Here is a 20,086-nt window from a genome sequence, read left to right on the forward strand (position 1 = left end):
AATAATTTTTTATTTTGAATAGCCTCCAAAAATGTGTGTGTTTTCTGTAGGAGGAACAGGAATTAAGCCTTTCCTGGAACGCTTTGGAGAGCGTTGTCAAGAACATAGCAAAGAAAGTCCAGCTCGTAGCACACCCCACAGAACCCCCATTATTACTCCAAATACAAAGGCCATCCAAGAAAGATTATTCAAGCAAGACACATCTTCATCTACTACCCATTTAGCACAACAGCTCAAGCAGGTATGGTGTACTGCATTTAACATTATTCATCACATGGTCTCTGCATAGAACCTAGAAATCAAAATGGGTTCTGATGCCAGTCTTTTTGACTGAGATAAGTAGCATCTTGGTTTTCTGTATCACTAATTTCAGACAAGATTGGGCACATTCAGGGTGGTATGGCCGTAGACAGTATCACTCATCTCAAATTAGAAATATTGTCCTGAATTCCATGTGTATTATGAACTTTTTAAACTGAAAACTGTTTAAACTTTTTAAACAGTTTAAAACTGCAAACAAGGAAAATTTTAGTAGTGTTTGGATGTTAAACATGCTACCGGCTCTTGTGTAAAATACAGCTTTTGATGGGTTTAGGAACGTCAAAAAGAACTAGCATGTCTTCGTGGCCGATTTGACAAGGGCAATATATGGAGTGCAGAAAAAGGCGGAAACTCAAAAAGCAAACAACTAGAAACCAAACAGGTAATGTAAACAAGAAATATAAAAACGAACTTGGTCCCCAAATAGTTGGGATCTAATTTGTAGTTCTGTATTGGCAAATAATTCTTTACACATTTTTCTTTTCCAATTAACTCTGTCACTTTTCGTTTATAAATCCCTTAAATGTGTGTACCAACTCTTGCTTTTCTTGTGATATTTTTCTATTTCAGTGGAACTCTTCACCATATTCATTGATGACCTTAAAATCAAATTTTACAAAAATTATTTTCATCATTCATTTGATTTCAGAGTCTACTTAATATTCCACTTAGATGGTGGTTCTAAAATATTTCGAGAGTCTACTTTTCTCAATGATGACTGTATACCTTTCCCCAGATACCATGTCTTTAGACTATCTGGGATCCTTTCAGTCACCACATACCTCCCACATTGCTCTTTATTCCGGTCAAAGTTCATTAATCAGCCTTCAACAAAATCTCTACAATGTAAGCTGTGTTCTGTTTAATTTACATGTCTACAAAGTACTGTGTTAGGATATGTTTTTAAGCTAATAGAATTATATTTACAGTGGGGACTAATAGAAAGTAAAATAACAGTAAATTTAATCAGTATTCTTTGAGAAAGATCTACTTGATTGATTTGTTTTTTATCAGTTCACTTGCTTAACAAATCACATTTCCCAGAGTTCTGATCTCAACCTTTTTTTCTCAGTTGCTCTGGAACATCTCTTCCCTGTCCACATACCTAGATTCCGATAATCACTGAAATGCTGATGATGCTCAGCTCCGTTGTGCTGATATCTCTCCTGAGCTCTAGGTGTGGTTGGCTAGCAAAGCCTGCTATGCTTTGCTGTAGTATCTTCCCCTTGTAGTCTCTGTCTTCTCTTGTTGGTTTGCTCTATACCTTGTCATCTAAAACAATCTGGAAGTTCTTCCTTGACTTCTTCCTCTTGTTTACTGTGTCTTCCCTTCTGCTTGCCCCTAGCACACATATGCATAAACACACACGTGCAGTGATAAGTTTTCTAAATCTGTCACCCACCTGCCTCGTCTTCCATATTTTCCTCTGCTATTACCGAAGTTACTGCTGTAGCTTTGTACTGAACATCCTGCTTCTAGTCTCGCTACCCTCCAGTCCACCTTATCAGTTGCTGCCAGAGAAATATATATATATATATATATATTTTTTTTTTTTTTTTTTGACATGGAGTTTCACTCTTATTGCCCAGGCTGGAGTGCAATGGCACGATCTTGGCTTACTGCAACCTCCACCTCCCGGCTTCAAGCGATTCTCCTGCCTCAGCCTCCTAAGTAGCTGGGATTACAGGCATGCGCCACCACACTTGGCTAATTTTGTATTTTTAGTAGAGATGGAGTTTCTCCATGTTGGTCAGGCTGGTCTCGAACTCGTGACCTCAGGTGATCCGCCCGCCTCAGCCTCTCAAAGTGCAGGGATTACAGGTGTGAGCCACCACACCCAGCCGAGAAATATTTTTAAAAGACGCATATTCATGTATTCACTTGCTTAAAATCTTGAAGTGCTCCTCATAGTCATCATCAGAAAAAATGCGTAAACTGCTTGGCTTGACATATAGAATGATTCCTCACCTGGCTCCTCCCCACTGCTCCTCCACAGGTATGCTTCAGTCCTGCCATGCAGGCTATTTGCAGTTTCTCAAATATACCCATGTTTTTATATCTCTCTGCCTTTGCCTTCTGTTCTCTGCCAGGAATATTTCCCTGGTGAGCTCCTACTTCATTAAGAATAGGTCAAACTTTAATCCCCTCTAGGAATTCTTCCTTTTCTCAAAGTGTCCCACTTTTTTTCACCCATGTCATCCTGTGTATACCTCAACTAGAATATTTATCTTCCTGTGAATGTTGTAAGTTTGCATTCCACCACTGCCTATGGGAGTCTTCTCCACCTCTGTGTCCTTAGTGCCTGGCTCAGACTAGGGGCTCAACAAACTTGTATTTGAAGGAAGAAATGCGTTTGCTGATCCTTCCCATCAGCATATAACAAGCTATTATCTGCCATCTGAAAAAAAAAACAACTCTTGCAACCCATTCCCCTCCTTTTCTTTGCCTCCATGTCATGCAGACTCTTCTACAAGTTATTCCTACTTGCTGCTTTCAGGTTTCCCCCTTCTCTTTAGAATTCTATCTGCTTAAGCTTTGCCACCACTCCTTCCACGACTCAGTATCCTAATCACGTTTGTCAGTGATCTTCACCTACTAATCAATTTTCAGTTGATTAGTAGCATTTGACATTGTCGATCACTCTTCTGTTGGGAGCGCCTTCTTTACTTGGTTGCCAGTGTATCATATTCTCATGGCTTTCTGCCAGTGTCTCTAGAAAGTATAGAGCAGGGTTCTTAAACTATTTTGTACTAAATAATTCCCAATAAACCTGTGAAATTCCTCCCAGAAAGTTGCACATATGCATGTAAACAAAATTCTGAACACAGTAACAGTGCAGAGCACTCATCTGTGGTCTCCACAGACTAAGCAGCCAAAGAGCTAGGAGGAAAATGTAGTTGAAGGCAGTGTCTTTAAAGTCAAGGGGCTCGGCGTGGTGGCTCCCGCCTGTAATCCCAGCACTTTAGGAGACTGAGGCAGGTGGATCACTTGAAGTCAGGAGTTTGAGACCAACCTGGCCAACATGGTGAAACCCTATCTGTACTAAAAATACAAAAAAAATTAGCCAGGCCTGGTGGCGGGTGCCTGTAATCTCAGCTACTCAGGAGGCTGAGGCGGGAGAATCTCTTGAACCTGGGAGTCGGAGGTTGCAGTGAGCCGAGATCGCACCACTGCACTCCAGTCTGGGCAATGGAGTGAGACTCCGTCTCAAAAAAAAAAAAGGAAATAAAGTCAAGGGAAGAAAGAAAACTTTCGAGAAGGAAGGCATGGTTGGTATTGTTACGTTTCAAATGTGGGTTAAGCCAAATCTACTGGGTTTTGAAGCAAGAAGTTTGCTGTAACGTGGCAAGAGCAGTGTTAGTGAAGAGGTGAGGGTGGCGTGCAGGTGGTGCTGTGTCGAGGAGGGAACGGGCAAGAGGAGCAGAGCCAGTGAGTGCAGGCATTTCTTAGTTTGGTCCTAATGGAGGTGATAAAGGAGGTAGTGGCTAGAAGAGATGAAGAAAAGTATGATTTGTATGTGTTTTGTCCTTTCTGAGACCTAAGTCAATTTGTGTGATGGGATAAGGGGTGATAATTGATGGGATGAGGTGAGAATGGATGAACTCCGCACAGTGAAGGGAACAGAACTGATGAGGACAATCTCCTGTGTGACGAAAAGGAAGGAGGAAAGTAGCATGTAGGGGTGATGGTAGTCTTAGAGTTAGGATAGCAAAAACTGATGGACTTTCTTCTGAAAGCTCCTGTTTTATTCATCCTTAGGAAAGGGAAGGTGACAGGGGAAATACTGTATGGAGGAAAGAAGAGAGAGCTGACTCAGACATAGGAAGAATAGGGGGTAGTATTGAGGCTTAGATGAGATATGAGACCGTAGATTTTATAGTGGAACCATTTGATCGTTTACTTTGCTTTTTGTGTTTTTAAAAAATTTTTATGTATTTTTTAATCCACTCATCTGCATGCTAATTACATTGTTTTTACACAACCAAAGCTGCTTCTAACTTGAGAGACAATAAAGTCTGGAACTAGACCTGGAACAAGAGTACCTGGGTTTGTATACTGGCTCTGCCAGTCACTAACTGTGTGCAAGATACTTAACTTTTTTGTGTCTCAGTTCTCTCATCTGTAAAATGGAGATACTAGTACCTAACATAGAGGGTTATTGAGAAGATTAGGTGAGGCAATAGATATAAGGTGCTTAGAAAGGTGGCTGGCACATATTGAGCTCTGTATAAGTATTAGCTGCCTTTATTTTACTCTTATTTGATTATTTCTACTATGACTTCATTCATAAAGTCTTCTTTTATTTCTTTGCTGAAATAATCTGTACAACAATATAAAGTCTTTAAACATACAAAATAGTGAATGTTCCTCTTAAATAACCTTGCTAATGAATAAAAAGACTCAGACGAGGGAATGTTTTCTTCTCTTCTCTTCTTTCCTTACCTTCTGATCTGTTTTGTCCTTGTTTTCTCTTGCTCTTACCCTCCGGGTAACTGATAATTAAATGGAATCCTGATGTGTAGGAGCTGTCACCAGATGTTATAGGTGTGGGTTGAGATAAGTGACATAGGGGTGGGTGTTTTTCCCTTTGTGTGGCTTTCACTTTGTTTTTTTATTGTTATTTTATTTTATTTTATTTTATTTTATTCTACCAAATACCCAGACTTCAAGGAGAGGCTTTCACTTTGATTGGCTTATCTAAAACTGAGCCCTGATATGAATTTTCATTCTTTCTTGCCACCTCCTCTCCAAAAAAATTTTTACATACTGAGAATTACCAAGAATGTGAACTAGCACTGAGGGTTTGTCGTGTTCTGAACAAGGCTGGGCCTATTCACATACACTATCTCTTTGGTTCTAAGGAAACTTATACAGAATAATATTTAATAATAATCTTGTTTCATTTAATAACATAGAAAGATAAAATATATAGTTTTGAGAAATAAAATTTACTTTTCATTCGCTTTTTGCAGGAAACTCACTGTCAGAGCACTCCCCTCAAAAAACACCAAGGTGTTTCAAAAACTCAGTCACTTCCAGTAACAGAAAAGGTGACCGAAAACCAGATACCAGCCAAAAATTCTAGTACAGAACCTAAAGGTCAGTGTTTCCAGATTGTTCATGGTTAGTATGTAGAAACTCAAATGATGTTTGTGTGTTGATTTTGTATTCTGTAACTTTGCTGGATTTGTTTGTTCTAACGTTTTTTGGGGGGAATCTTTAGGGTTTTCTTTCTTTTTTCACTTTTCTTTGAGATGGATTCTTGCCCTGTTGCCCATGCTGGAGTGCAATGGTGTGATCTCTTGGCTCACTGCAACCCTCACCTCCCGGGTTCAAACGATTTTCCTGCCTCAGCCTCCCGAGTAGCTGGGATTACAGGCGCCTGCCACCATGCCCAGCTAATTTTTGTATTTTTAGTAGAGATGGGGTTTCACCATGTTGGCCAAGCTGTTCTCAAACTCCTGACCTCGTGATCTGCTTGCCTTGGCCTCCCAAAGTACTGGGATTACAGGGGTCAGCCACTGCGCCCAGCCCAGGGTTTTCTACATGTAAGATCCTGTGATCTGTGAATAGAGATAATTTTACTCCTTTTCTAATTCAGGTGCCTTTTATTTTCTTATATAATTGCTCTGGCTAGGACTTTCAATGCTGTGTTGAATAGAAGTCATTAAAACAGGCATCTTTGTCTTGTTCCTCATCTTAAAGGAAAAGCTTTTAATCCTTCACTGTTGAGTGTAATGTTAGCTGAGGGCTTTTCATATATGGCCTTTGTTACGTTGTGTACCTTCCTTCTATTCCTAGTTTTTGAGTAATTTTATTGGCACTTTGTTTTTAAAGTAAAAAACAAATTGCAGAGTAGTGGTATGTATGGTATGATCACAAAACAAAACAAAATGATATGTAAATATGCACACCTTGGGGGAAACTGGAAAAACAAACAATAACCTGGTAATATTGCTGTCCCATTTCTCTCTCGGTGGGGGAAAAGTTAATGCATTTATGCCTAGTGTTCCATTATTGGAACGCTAAGCTTATGGGAGTTACTTATGTCCTCCTGCTCAAGGTTGTCACCAAGAACTGATTTTTCACAAAATAAATTTGCAACCTCCAGCATAAATGGGTTAAGAGAGGACAGGTGTTCAGGGAGGGGTGTTTCTATACATTTCTGGGTTTGGATATTTTAAAACGAATACATAGTTTTATAATCAGAAAAAAAAAACACACACAAGATTCCATAATTAGAAAATTATAGGTTCTTATATATATTAATATGGTCTTTCTTAAACATTTTTAGGTTTCACTGAATGCGAAATGACGAAATCTAGCCCTTTGAAAATAACATTGTTTTTAGAAGAGGACAAATCCTTAAAAGTAACATCAGACCCAAAGGTTGAGCAGAAAATTGGTTGGTTTTTATTCTTTATTTATTATTAACTTTGCACATACTATAGGAAATAATATATTGATAGAAGCACATATTCAAATTGAGAGTATCTCTGCTTTTTAAATTAAATCAGAATACACTGTAGCTTCTACCAAGATGTGGTACTGTTAACAGTTACTGCTAGCTCACAGGCACCTGTGAAAGTGTGGTTAAGACCCTCACTGACTTTGACAGGGATAGGAAAGTTGCTGCCCTCCCACGCTCTGTACTGGTAGAGGGGTGTTTCAGGGAAAAACTCTCTGGGATTATGTTTTCCTCTGTTTTCATACCACCACAACAATCATCAACACAGAAGACTTTTGTGACCAGTTCAATTCAATTCAATTCTGACACTAGCTACATGGAAGTAGTGTCAGATCCCACAGGTTGGGGACTCAGTCCCCAAGACTGCCTCCTCTCCTTCAGATACCAGTTGCAAGTGCAAGTCCAGGCCTCTCAAACTTCCTTTTTTTTTTTTTTTTTTTTTTTGAGACAGTCTCACTCTGTCGCCCAGACTAGAGTGCAGTGGCACGATCTTGGCTCACTGCAACCTCCACCTCCCAGGTTCAAGCGATTCTTCTGCCTCAGCCTCCTGAGTAGCTGGGACTACAGGCGCTGCCCCCACACCCAGCTAATTTTTGTATTTTTAGTAGAGAGGGGGTTTCACCATATTGGCCAGGCTGGTCTGGAACTCCTGACCTCGTGATCTGCCTGCCTTGGCCTCCCAAAGTGCTGGGATTACAGGCGTGAGCCACCATACCTGGCCCAGGGCTCTCAAACTTCTAACCGACCAGCTTCAAGCTGAGGTTTCTGTGACCCCCTCTTTAGCTTGGATTAATTGGCTCACAGAACTCTGGGAAATACTTACGTTTACTGCTTTATTTTAAAGGATATGGGTGAGGTATACGGAAAGGGGCATGGAGCTTCCATTGCCTTCCCTGGGGCGCCACCCTCCAGGAACCTCCACGTGTTCAGTTATCCAGAAGCTCCCTGAACCCAGTTCTCTTGGGTTTCAGTGGAAGCTTCATAAAGTCAGCATTCCCTCCCCCAGGGTATGAGGCTGGATCCTCTCTGGTGAGGGGTGAGGTGGGTGTGGGGGTCGTCTTAAGAACCACAATGAGAAAGATAGGAGAAGATTAGAGTCCTGCCGTGGGGCAGGTGAAAGGATGGCAGGAGAGTTCTGTTTCCTGTGAGGCCTAATGCACCCAACATTATAACGAAAGACAGTAACTAGGGATACAGCAGTTATGAGCTAGGAACTGTGGACGAAAACCAGTATATATCATAATACCACAAGGTGTTAGCAGCCCCTGAAGGTTATTATCGAACCCTGCCCTAAGTGACATTAATATTTTCCTATTATTGACTGCTGTGTGAAAGGGTAGCTCTCAACGATAGAAAAAGTCATTTGAGAGAATATTTTTTGAAAGTCTGAAGTCTTTGGCTATTATTCTACATTTGAGTTCTTAATGCTTTTACTTAAACCCAAGGTATTGAATCAGTTTTGATAGACCCAATATTCATTTCTTTTTCTTTTTCTTTTTTCTTTTTTTTTTTTGTCTCAGACAGAGTTTCACTCTTGTCCCCCAGGCTAGAGCGCAATGGCACAATCTGGGCTCACTGCAACCTCTGCCTCCTGGGTTCAAGTGATTCTCCTGCCTCAGCCTCCTGAGTAGCTGGGATTACAGGCACCTATCACCACGCCTGGCTAATTTTTTTTGTATTTTTAGTAGAGACTGGGCTTTGCCATGTTGGCCAGACTTGTCTTGAACTCCTGACCTCAGTTGATCTGCCCACCTTGGCCTCCCAAAGTGCTGGGATTACCAATATTCATTTCTTAGAAAGTGTTATTGAAGCTGAAGATTTTCTTGGTTTCATTTATTAGTAGTATTTTCTTATTTTTCTTTTTAGGAGGTGCTTTTTTTTAAGGCATTTTTTCCTATTTAGTAAGAATATGAATATTAAATTTTCTTTGTTATGCCTTTAATTCTTAAATATCTGAGTCACAGTGTCCACCTATTGAAATATTTTTCAGAAGTGATACGTGAAATTGAGATGAGTGTGGATGATGATGATATCAATAGTTCGAAAGTAATTAATGACCTCTTCAGTGATGTCCTAGAGGAAGGTGAACTAGATATGGAGAAGAGCCAAGAGGAGATGGATCAAGCATTAGCAGAAAGCAGCGAAGAACAGGAAGATGCACTGAATATCTCCTCAATGTCTTTACTTGCACCATTGGCACAAACAGTTGGTGTGGTAAGTCCAGAGGTAAGAAAAGGCTAACTAAACAGGCCCAGGACATAAGTAAACTAAGTAGTATTCGTATCTCCCCTTTCTTTTGTTGACAGATGGACATTTGGCTCAGTAGCCAAGGGAATTTTGCAGACCTGTTGTCTGTTCTCTTAAAAGAAACCTTAAAACTCTTGAGTGGTTTCCTTTTGACCTTAGATGAAATCCAAAGAGTAACATGGCTTAAAAGGCCAGGCATTTGGGCTCAGCTTTTGACTCTGCCATTTGCTGACTGTTTATTGGTCAGGTTATTTAAGCTCTCTATGCCACCATTTCCTCTTATGTTAAACGAGGTTATTAATAATACCTATATAGTGGAGTTGATGTGAACATTGTTGTATTAGTATATCGGTAGTTAGCTCCAAACACATGTAACTAACATTTAGTTACAGCTAACTGCTGTTATTAGCTTTCACCCTCAATTGAATAACTGCAGCTCTGGGGATTGATTCAACTAGAATTTTTTTTTTGAAGTATAAGTTTCAGCTGTCTTTGTAGTTTTATTTATTCTTTTATGTGTTAGGAACTTAGTTTGCTTTGTTTTTATGATGAATCAATCAGCTTACTGGATTTTTTTCTTAATATTAATGGAGAATTCATTGATTTTCACAGAATAAAATGAATTATCATTTAGGATCAATGTTAATATCTGATGCGTTTTCCCACAGAGTTTAGTGTCCACACCTAGACTGGAATTGAAAGACACCAGCAGAAGTGATGAAAGTCCAAAACCAGGAAAATTCCAAAGAACTCGTGTCCCTCGAGCTGAATCTGGTGATAGCCTTGGTTCTGAAGATCGTGATCTTCTTTACAGGTAAGAACATTTCTGGAAGGCATTCACTCACTAAGGGTCATGGTTTAGATTGACATAAGTCGTGTTATAATTTGTAATTATAATGTTATTAATAACTCATCTGTATAAAAGTTTGGAATAACTTTTGTTAGCCTCTCTTTCACCAAATGAGAGTTCCATTCTGTTGTGAAATGTTCTGCTGACATGTTCAATATCAGTGTCAAATTCTGCTGATATGTTCAATAAAGGATAGTGCTCAGTGTGTTGCTGGATTTCTAATAGAGTGTAACTTACCTCTTGAAGCATTGATGCATATAGATCTCAAAGATTCAAAGAAACAGAACGTCCATCAATAAAGCAGGTGATTGTTCGGAAGGAAGATGTTACTTCAAAACTGGATGAAAAAAATAATGCCTTTCCTTGTCAAGTTAATATCAAACAGAAAATGCAGGTATGTACTTTTGTGGAAAGGGGCTTTGGAATGTTTCTTGCACTAGGCTGTGAGCTCTGTGAGGACAAAGGGCCCAGCCTTACTTATCTCTGAACCCTGAGTGGCCAGAATAGTGTCTGATGCATAGAAGCTCAGTAAATCACATTTGAATTCAGTTTATTTTTGGAAAGGTACTCTTTTTGAAAACTTGGAAACTCATTTGATATTGCTGAAATATTTATTTTTAAACAAGTTTTTCATAAATATCCTTAAAGTATAACTATTAATTGGATAATGATGTAGTGGGAAATTTGTTATGCTCTTCAAGGTTTTTTCATGCTAAGGAAGCTTTTTTTTTTTGAGACAGCATTTTGCTCTTTGTTGCCCAAGTTAGATTGTAATGGCGCAATCTTGGCTGACTGCAACCTCTGCCTCCCGGGTTCAAGCAATTCTCCTGCCTCAGCCTCCCAAGTAGCTGAGATTACAGGCATGCACCACCACACCTGGCTAATTTTTATATTTTTAGTAGAGATGGGGTTTCACTATGTTGGTCAGGCTAGTCTCAAACTCTTGAACTCAGGTGACCCACCCACCTCAGCCTCCCAAAGTGCTAGGATTACAGGCATGAGCCACCATGCCTGGCTTTTAAAAAAAATATTTTAATTATAAAAAAAAATAGAGATGGAGTCTCACTATGTTTTCTAGGCTGATCTCACACTCCTGGGCTCAAATGATTCTTGTGCCTTGGACTCCCAAAGTGCTGGGATTACGGGTGTGAGCCACCATGCCTGGCCCTAAGGAAGCATATTAAAAAAAAACAGTGTAATTGTAATTTAAATAAAATGAATCAGATACTTTCTAAATTTCTACGTTGTTGGATGTAACCCCAATTTTAACTTTAATAAGTATGAATTGGAAGTTTTTTCATAAGGAATAATATTTATAGCTTAATTATTGTAACATGCTAAATGTTTTTGGTGCATAGTCGAGAAACTTGAGCAGTGAAACTAACATTTTGACTTTCATCTGGAAATTCTAGAAACTATCCAATCAAGTTAGTTAGAATTAAAATTTAAAGTGAAAATGATGATTTAAAATGTGTATATTTTTTCTCCTCTCATTGGTTTTCCTAGGAACTCAATAACGAAATAAATATGCAACAGACAGTGATCTATCAAGCTAGCCAGGCTCTTAACTGCTGTGTTGATGAAGAACATGGAAAAGGGTCCCTAGAAGAAGCTGAAGCAGAAAGACTTCTTCTAATTGCAAGTAAGTGTGATGCACCTGAAAGAGTTCCAACAAATTTCTAACCAGGGAAAACTCATTTTGATATTTAGAAATCTTTAAGTTTAGAGAAAGGGCTTTTCCTAGTCATCTGTTCCAGTGGATCTATTTTTTGTTCTTGTTTTTATAAGGTTTAAGAACTCTATGTAAAACAAATTGTAGTTTGCATGAAAGGTAGAAGCAACCGAAAGGCATTTGAAGAAATGCAGTTGTGCAGATTGAATGAATGAATGGATGAATGAATGAATCTCTATATATACACATGTACACATACATTCTCTCTCTCTCTCTCTCTCTCTCCCTTCCTTCCCTTATCAATAAATAGCTAAAACAACTTCTGTGAATTTTGCTGTGTGCGTATATGTGGTGATGATGGGGCATTTTGGGGTGGACAGATGATACCACACATGAAAACTAGCCGAAAGTTGATGTATTAAATTATAAGGACTTGGTAAATGAGCAACCAAGGTTTTCCCCAACCACCTACCATGTTTTATAAAGATAGTGTTACTGATTTCGTCTTCGCTGTTACGTACAGTTTCCATATCAGTACACTTTTTTGAATTTGCTCTCATTAGAAACAGTTACGATTTTAATATTTGGAATATTGCGTTGTTTTACATAGCTGGGAAGAGAACACTTTTGATTGATGAATTGAATAAATTGAAGAACGAAGGACCTCAGAGGAAGAATAAGGCTAGTCCCCAAAGTGAATTTATGCCATCCAAAGGATCAGTTACTTTGTCAGAAATCCGCTTGCCTCTAAAAGCAGATTTTGTCTGCAGTACGGTTCAGAAACCAGGTATGGTGGTGATTTTTCTAGATTGTGTGTTAAATTATGAACCTCACCTAGATTGAATTGTACAGAATAGAAACAAGTAAATCATGCATAACAATGCAAAGTTTGTATCTTTGGCCTTTAGGTCCTTTTATTGAGATATAATAAAAATAAGAAAACTTCAGATATATATAGGGATACCAATCTACACAATAATGGACATTGCTCTTACTGAAAGTTTGAATATAAAGTTTTATTAAATGTTGGATATGGTTTTTAAAGTTCCTTTTAAAATTTTATTTGTGTGGAACACAAATTTTTTTGTGTGTGTTCTGGAATACCAAAGAAATAAAGGAATACTGAACTGATTTATACACAATTTATTTTAAAAAATTTCTTTTTGAGGGGAAGGAGGGCTAGACATAGGTGAGAAGCAAATTTCAGGCATAGGGAAAGTAAATGGAGGTTGTGAAAGGTTTGAGCACTTTTGTAGGAATAAGGTAATTTAGGTTCTAATTCTTGATGTTATCTGATTTTGATGGGGTGTGGGCAGAAATTTATTGGTAATTTAGTATGCGTCTGGAGGTACGTGGTTATTAATGACAAATGGTGAAGAAATAGTTTATGTTTTTATTATCATTTATCTCTGAGTAACTTTTATAGAAATACAGTATTTTAATTTCAGTTTTGAAATAACAAACCATAATTTACCCTTTTGAGATATGTACTATTAGTTAAGAATTAAGGGTCACTAGGTAAAATTCAAAATCAGCAGAAATTGAGAAATGTGGAGTGAAATTATTTCAATTTACATAACAGGGAGAGACCTTGATGATGCTTATTTCAGGATTATACTGCCTACTTAAGTCTTATTTAGCTTTTTGTGTCTGGAAAGTTGATTTTAGTAATTTTAAAAATAAATTGTATATAAATCAGTTCAATATTCCTTTATTTCTTTGGTATTCCAGAATGCTGATTAGCTAAATCTGATTTTGCTTGTGCTTACTATGTAATATGATTACTTCTTACAGATGCAGCAAATTACTATTACTTAATTATACTAAAAGCAGGAGCTGAAAATATGGTAGCCACACCATTAGCAAGTACTTCAAACTCTCTTAACGGTGATGCTCTGACATTCACTACTACATTTACTCTGTAAGTAAATCAGGCTTTTGATGATTCGAATGCATTTTTCTTTTTGTAGAGTTGATACAGTCTAAAGCATTCAGGTGGCATTTATAATCTTTGAAACGCCTTATGCACATTCTTTTTATATTGACAAATAACCCATCTTTCAATTTGTTGCTTTAACTCATATGTTTCTATCCTTCCTTTTGTTGAATAGCACCTTTTTTCCACATGACTGTAGGTATTACATATTTTGAAATGATATATACATTAAACCTGGACCATAGATTTTTAACATATGCCTTAAATCTCATAATGTACTTAACATTCAGTCTTAATGAAAATACGTTTATATTTAGTGAAACATTTATTTTTAAATAAGAGTCAAAGTGCAGTTTGAAAAATAATTACTACTTTTATTATTGAAGATTGTGAGTTGTAAAACACGGAGGAAAATATTTTGGACTTGCATTATAGGGAAAAAATAGACTTCTTAACAATTTTTATTGACTTTAAAGTCATAGTGGATTCCTTTACTTAGAGTCTTGTAAGAGTATTTGTAGCATCATTTTTAATGGTGTGATTGAGGTTTTCTCTCAAGGTTTTACTTAATGCTTTATTTTTCCAGGCAAGATGTATCCAATGACTTTGAAATAAATATTGAAGTTTACAGCTTGGTAAGCTGATAAAGCCTTCTAAAATAATGAAGAGTATATTTTTCTTAACAATATCAGATTATAAATTAATTATGCTTTGGGTTTGTGCGTAGGTGCAAAAGAAAGATCCCTCAGGCCTTGATAAGAAGAAAAAAACATCCAAGTCCAAGGTGAGAATTAAAGAAACCCAGTAAAAATATTTTCATCAGAAGTAATAGATATCATCATACCAGTTTTAATTTATGTACAACTTTTAATGATTAGGAAGTTTTTGGATCAGTTTCATGTTCCAATTTGTAGTTACTATGTTAAATAGGTATGAATACTGAAAATAAACTGTGAGTGATCATGATTGTCAGTATAAGTTCCTGATACACTCGGGCTAGATAATTCTATTTTCTCTACATTTACTTGGCAACTTTTATAACTGCTTAAAACTTTTCTCAAGACTTTTCCCTGAGCCCTCTTCTCTCTGTGTTCTCTATACCAGTACTTAATAATTATGTGGTCACTTTGCAGGCATAAGGTTGCTTTCCAGCCTTCCCAGTCTGTGTTCTTTTCTTAAGTCATCATTTTAAAAACTTTTTTTTTTTAGCTCTAACAAAAAAGGACTAACAGTATAAGAAAGCCTTAATCAGGGACTCAAGTGTAATGTTTTCATATTTAAGAATTAATTACTCAAGGACTCATGTGTAATGTATTCATATTTAAGAACTCATTCTTTTTTTTTTTTTTTTTTTGAGACGGAGTCTCGCTCTGTTGCCCAGACTGGAGTGCAGTGGCGTGATCTCAGCCCACTGCAACCTCCACCTCCCAGGTTCAAGCGATTCTCCTGCCTCAGCCTCCTGTGAAGCTGGGACTACAGGTGTGTGCCACCACATCTGACTAATTTTTTGTATTTTTAGCAGAGAGGGGGTTTCACCATGTTAGCAAGGGTGGTCTCAATCTCTTGACCTCATGATCCGCCCGCCTCAGCCTCCCAAAGTGATGGGATTACAGGCGTGAGCCACTGCTCCCGGCTAAGAATTAATTATTTTCTATGTAGGAATTTCTCAAGGTTGGATAGTTTTACTTTCTGAGACATAATGTTTAATAAGAAATATATATAGTAAGCTATCTTTTCTTTTAGGCTATTACTCCAAAGCGACTCCTCACATCTATAACCACAGTAAGTAGAATTTTTGAGAAATTGAGCTTCCTTGAGAAATCTTCATCTTACCCATACAGTTTTAAATTGGTTAACCATTTCTGAACCTTGAGCACTGTGGAAAATTTTAACATGTACTAATGGGGGGATATCCCTGTAATTTATGTAGGAAAAGTGTTTTCTGAAATGTATTTCTTATTGTGTTAAAAGAGATGAGTGATTCATATTTAAATCTTTGTATTAAATAAGGGAAATAACTTATGTTTCTTCTTCACACCTTTTTTTTTTTTTTTAGAAAAGCAACATTCATTCTTCAGGTGAGTGTATCTTGAACTATTTGAAACTTTAGAATAAGGTAAGGAATTAAGCACTTGCATATTTACATATATATAGGCCATCTTGATTTGTGAATGTTTACCTTGATCTCCTTTGGAATAATATTTTCTATGTGAGTTTCTTAGTAACAGGATTACTGGCCAGAGTAGGATGCAGTTTGGTTGCACCTTTGTTAGGTACCACCATAGAGGCACCAGTCATCATGTTATTCAGCTCTAGCAGCAGGTGGCATTACTCTTTACTTCAACTTCTATTGTTCTATAGATTTGTTTTGTGCTTTCCATACTGCAGATTTTACTTCTTTTAGCTTTACTGATCATAACTGGCGTTGTATCATGTCAGAAATGCATCTTTCTAGTTCACTGGGAACTGGAATGCTGTTAAGCCAGGAAAGGCCTTCTTTAGAATGACTTTAGGCCTATCTTTTTCCAAAAGGAATTAGGATGGAGCTGGTTTCACTCACTTCCTTTAGGCTATTGGTCTCTTTCTTCTCTGTGGTGCAAGAGAGTTACTAAGAGACCTGTACAGAGATAGTTTCTGCTGCTGATTTTGTCACCCTGCATTATAACTAGCACTGAAGTCTTTTCCATGTTTTTTATCGGGAAGTTGCTTTTTATGCATACATTTTTAGGTCTATATCTTTAAAAACACATCCATCCCAATTATTAAGGAGTGCTTGTACCTCTTTCATTAGGAAATAAGTTGATTTTTCCCCCCACATTTAAAGATGAAGGAAAATGAGGCAGTTTTTTTTTCTCTGTGGCAGCTTAATTTTCTTCTACTGGGATGGGGTGAGGAATTGTTACTTATACTTAACAAAAGTCATTCTGAACTAAACTTAATTTCCTCGTTCTTCACAGTCATGGCCAGTCCAGGAGGTCTTAGTGCTGTGCGAACCAGCAACTTCGCCCTTGTTGGATCTTACACATTATCATTGTCTTCAGTAGGAAATACTAAGTTTGTTCTGGACAAGGTAATCCAACTTTATTTCTAAGGGTGTGGTGTTTTTTTTTTAATCTTAGAAAAATTAGCTCAATGGAAATGCCACAATGCTTTTAGGTATTTGAAATCTTCGACTGAAAACATATGTTCTTAGAATTGCACATTTTTGCTAGGTATGAGTGTACCTAAATGTTTTTTTTTTTTTTTGTCTTGGAAGTATGTCTCCCTTTTAATAGTTAGAACTTCAGTGGATGCTTGCTTATTCTAAGTATCACTTCTGACTAAAGAAGTATTACTTCCTGCATTTAGATGTTAAGTTTATAATTTTAAAACATAATATCTTGCCTATTTCCATTTCTTTGTGGTTTTTTTTGTTTTTTTGTTTTTTTGTTTTTGAGACAGGGTCTCACTCTGTCACCTAGGTTGGAGTGCATGGCTCACTGAAGCCTCAGCCTCGCGGGCTCCCACCTTAGCCTTCCAAGTAGCTGGGACTACAGGCACGTGATGCCACGCCTGGCTAATTTTTACTATTGTTTTGTAGAGATGGGGTTTCATCGTGTTGGCTAGGCTGGTCTCGAACTCCTGGGCTCTGGCCATCTGTCTGCCTTGGCCTCCCAAAGTGCTGGGATTATAGGTGTGAGCCACCTTGCCCGGCCAGCCTATTTGAACCTATATTTTGAAATGAACAATATTTTATGAATTTAGTTTTGACAAGACAGTGAAAGGTAGATTAACCTCTTAGAAAAGTACTTACGAATCTAAGAGATTTCCTTCTCATACTTCCCTTTCATATTAGAAGCTTCAAAAATCAGATCTGTGTTAACATCACTATTGAGTCTTTTTTTCACCAAGACTATTTTAAGGAGTAAGACAACTAGAGGCAAATTTTATTTCTTGGGTTGACTTCTATATAATACAGTGATAATTTATATTATCATGTGAGATTTCTGTAGTGCGAATATAGAGATGAAGAAGTGTAAAAATTAGAAGCCCTGGTTTCTAGTATTTACCCTTAGTGATTTACTCTTTAACATTGAGCAAAGTCACCTCATCTCTCTAGGGTCTTGTTTTCCAGTACAGAAATATTAGTTTAGCCTGAAACAATCTAAAATTCTATGAAATGCTTTCTTTTAGTTGATGGACAAAAAGCAGACTGTATTTGAAGTTTTGATTACTATTAATGCATGAATGTGTTTTAACAAGTTAATTTTAAAAATTTTTGTAACTTTTTATTTAGTAATTCAGCTACTTTAACCAGTTGAGTGATCCTGGGTCTTTTTTTCTCTGTCTCTTATTTTGTCTGTTTTAGATAAATTATGATGTAAGAGAGCGAGAGCTACTGGGCTATTTGTTCCAGGAAAAGGTTGCCATTATTTTCTTTGCTTGAAATTAATGAGCTTAAAAATCAATCCTTAATTTTTGATCTACATATATTTGTTTTACTAACTATCTTTTTGTTTACTTTGAATAATTAAGGACATTATGTACATTATTCTATCATGAGACTCTTATAGATGGGTGTCTTTTTCTCCACTCTCAATACTTTAAAACCTTCTTTGAAAGTTTTCTATTTTTTCAATGCATGTTTGGTGTTTGGGTCTTTTTCCATATTCTTTCTTCTCTCTTATAGTTCATTATAATCCTATATTCACATCAATATTGATTTTTCTAGGTACAATTAGAATACCAATTAGTAACTATATTTAAAACTAAAAATTATTCAATATTTTTGACCTGTATACTGGAAGAGCTATTGGTGATGTTTTAAATAAAAGCAGATTTTTTTTTTTTTTTTTTTTGAGACGGAGTTTTGCTCTGTCACCCAGGCTGGAGTGCAGTGGCGTGATCGTGGCTCACTGCAACCTCTGCCTCCTGGGTTCAAGCGATTCTCCTGCCTCAGCGTCCCAAGTAGCTGGGACTACAGGTGCATGCAACCACATCTGGCTAGTTTTTGTATTTTTAGTAGAGGCAGGGTTTCACCATATTGGCCAGGCTGGTCTCGTGCTCCTGACCTCAAGTGATCAGCCCTCCTTGGCCTCCCAAAGTGCTGGGATTACAGGTGTGAACACTGTGCCTGGCCAAAAGTAGAAAATTTTTATGGTCTTAATTGGCTAATAGGTATATTGCTAGATAGATGACCCTTTGCTTGTTAATTTTGAAATTATAATACATTTAGCACTGAAATTATACTGAATATAATAATATATTTTGGAAGACTTTTTAAAGTTTTTTTTTTGTTTTGAGATAGAGTCTCACTCTGTCACCCAAGCTGGAGTGCAGTGGCACGATCTCGGCTCACTACAGCCTCCATCTCCCAGGTTCAAGCAATTCTCATGCCTCAGCCTCCTGAGTAGCTGGGATTACAGGCGTGCACCACCATGCCCAGATAATTTTTGTATTTTTAGTAGAGACAGGGTTTCACCATGTTACCCAGGCTAGTCTTGAACTCCCAACCTCAGGCGATCTGCTCGCCTTGGTCTCACAAAGTGCTGGGATTACAGGAGTGAGCCACTGCGCCCATCTAAAGATTTTTAATATTTTTGTAAAGGTCAGTTACAAACATTCTCTTGGTTAAAGAGATGCTAATTAACAAAATGCTGGATGGTATTTTTTATTTTATTTTAAATTCTTAAAATAGGATTTGCAAATTAGATAACCATAAGAATTGGGATTTTACGAACTGTGTTTTTTACTCAGTATTGTCACATAGCCAGTTTCTACATATGTAAGAGATTTCATTAATCTCTAAAATGAAAGAGATTTCAATGACATATCTTAAATATAGACTGTTCTTTTAAAAACTTTTTTTGGCTGCCATTTTGAATCAAAATGTCACATTTACAAATTAAAATTAAATTATATTCCCATTCACTTAACTCCTTTGAATTTATAACTTAAATAGCCAACCACATGATTGAGTGCAAAATCAAACCACTCAGTTTAATTTGTTGTGTCTTTTACTCTTGAGACTCCTTCTCAGTCAGATACAGTACGATTTAGAAGTAAAATCTGGAACAAATTTTGTGCTTTTCTGAGTGAGGAGGGGAAGCAAATATTTGTTCCAATTGCCTGGGTTTGATGTAGGAGAATATCTAAAATAGTTAAGTTTGAATGGTCTTGAAGTTGGTGGGAAAAATTTAAGGCCTTCTACACTCATGTAATAATCCTATTTAATTGTCACTGAAAGAGTATACATGTCTTTCCTGCCTTGTCAGATACTGTCAGTACAACGCAGTCTTGGTTTATTTTACTGGTGCCTTGACCAGTAATACAACAATCACAGAGGTTATCTGTGAGGTCCTTCCAGAGTGGAATTTCTGTTGAGGTTAATCCAGTTGGTTTGCTCTGCGGATTTAGGACACCACTGTCAGTGGATTTCCATTTTATTTGAGGCTATTCAGATCTGATTTAAAGCCTGGCATCCTGGAATTTAAATTACAAATCTTAGTGAGTCAGACTTTCAAACCCTTTCTTTGAATAGGGAATCCAAAACAGTCATAGTTTTATTATACTATTATAGATAAAGGGAGAAGGATGTCCCAAAGTTCCTCT

At 37.3% G+C, this 20,086-nt stretch overlaps 1 protein-coding gene across 9 annotated transcripts in view; it reads left to right on the top strand.

Annotated features, from left to right (window-relative positions):
* The window catches only part of ANLN (anillin, actin binding protein), a 63,930-nt gene that overhangs the window by 20,602 nt on the left and 23,242 nt on the right, over positions 1–20,086 (top strand). Inside the window, exons 6-21 of one of the 9 annotated variants that reach the window (XM_006715746.3) lie at positions 51–241; positions 596–703; positions 5,295–5,421; positions 6,617–6,727; positions 8,781–9,016; positions 9,706–9,851; positions 10,134–10,281; positions 11,394–11,529; positions 12,170–12,346; positions 13,354–13,480; positions 14,082–14,130; positions 14,223–14,279; positions 15,239–15,277; positions 15,552–15,573; positions 16,453–16,565; positions 17,844–17,897. In XM_006715746.3, coding sequence (XP_006715809.1) covers positions 51–241; positions 596–703; positions 5,295–5,421; positions 6,617–6,727; positions 8,781–9,016; positions 9,706–9,851; positions 10,134–10,281; positions 11,394–11,529; positions 12,170–12,346; positions 13,354–13,480; positions 14,082–14,130; positions 14,223–14,279; positions 15,239–15,277; positions 15,552–15,573; positions 16,453–16,565; positions 17,844–17,897 — 1,841 coding nt within the window. The remainder of the gene's footprint in view (positions 1–50; positions 242–595; positions 704–5,294; positions 5,422–6,616; positions 6,728–8,780; positions 9,017–9,705; positions 9,852–10,133; positions 10,282–11,393; positions 11,530–12,169; positions 12,347–13,353; positions 13,481–14,081; positions 14,131–14,222; positions 14,280–15,238; positions 15,278–15,551; positions 15,574–16,452; positions 16,566–17,843; positions 17,898–20,086) is intronic. The other 8 variants (XM_017012354.3, NM_018685.5, XM_017012355.3 and 5 more) reach the window with 8 other exon arrangements.

Source organism: Homo sapiens, chromosome 7 (genome assembly GCF_000001405.40).
Source record: "Homo sapiens chromosome 7, GRCh38.p14 Primary Assembly".
NCBI classification, from domain to species: Eukaryota; Metazoa; Chordata; class Mammalia; order Primates; family Hominidae; genus Homo; species Homo sapiens.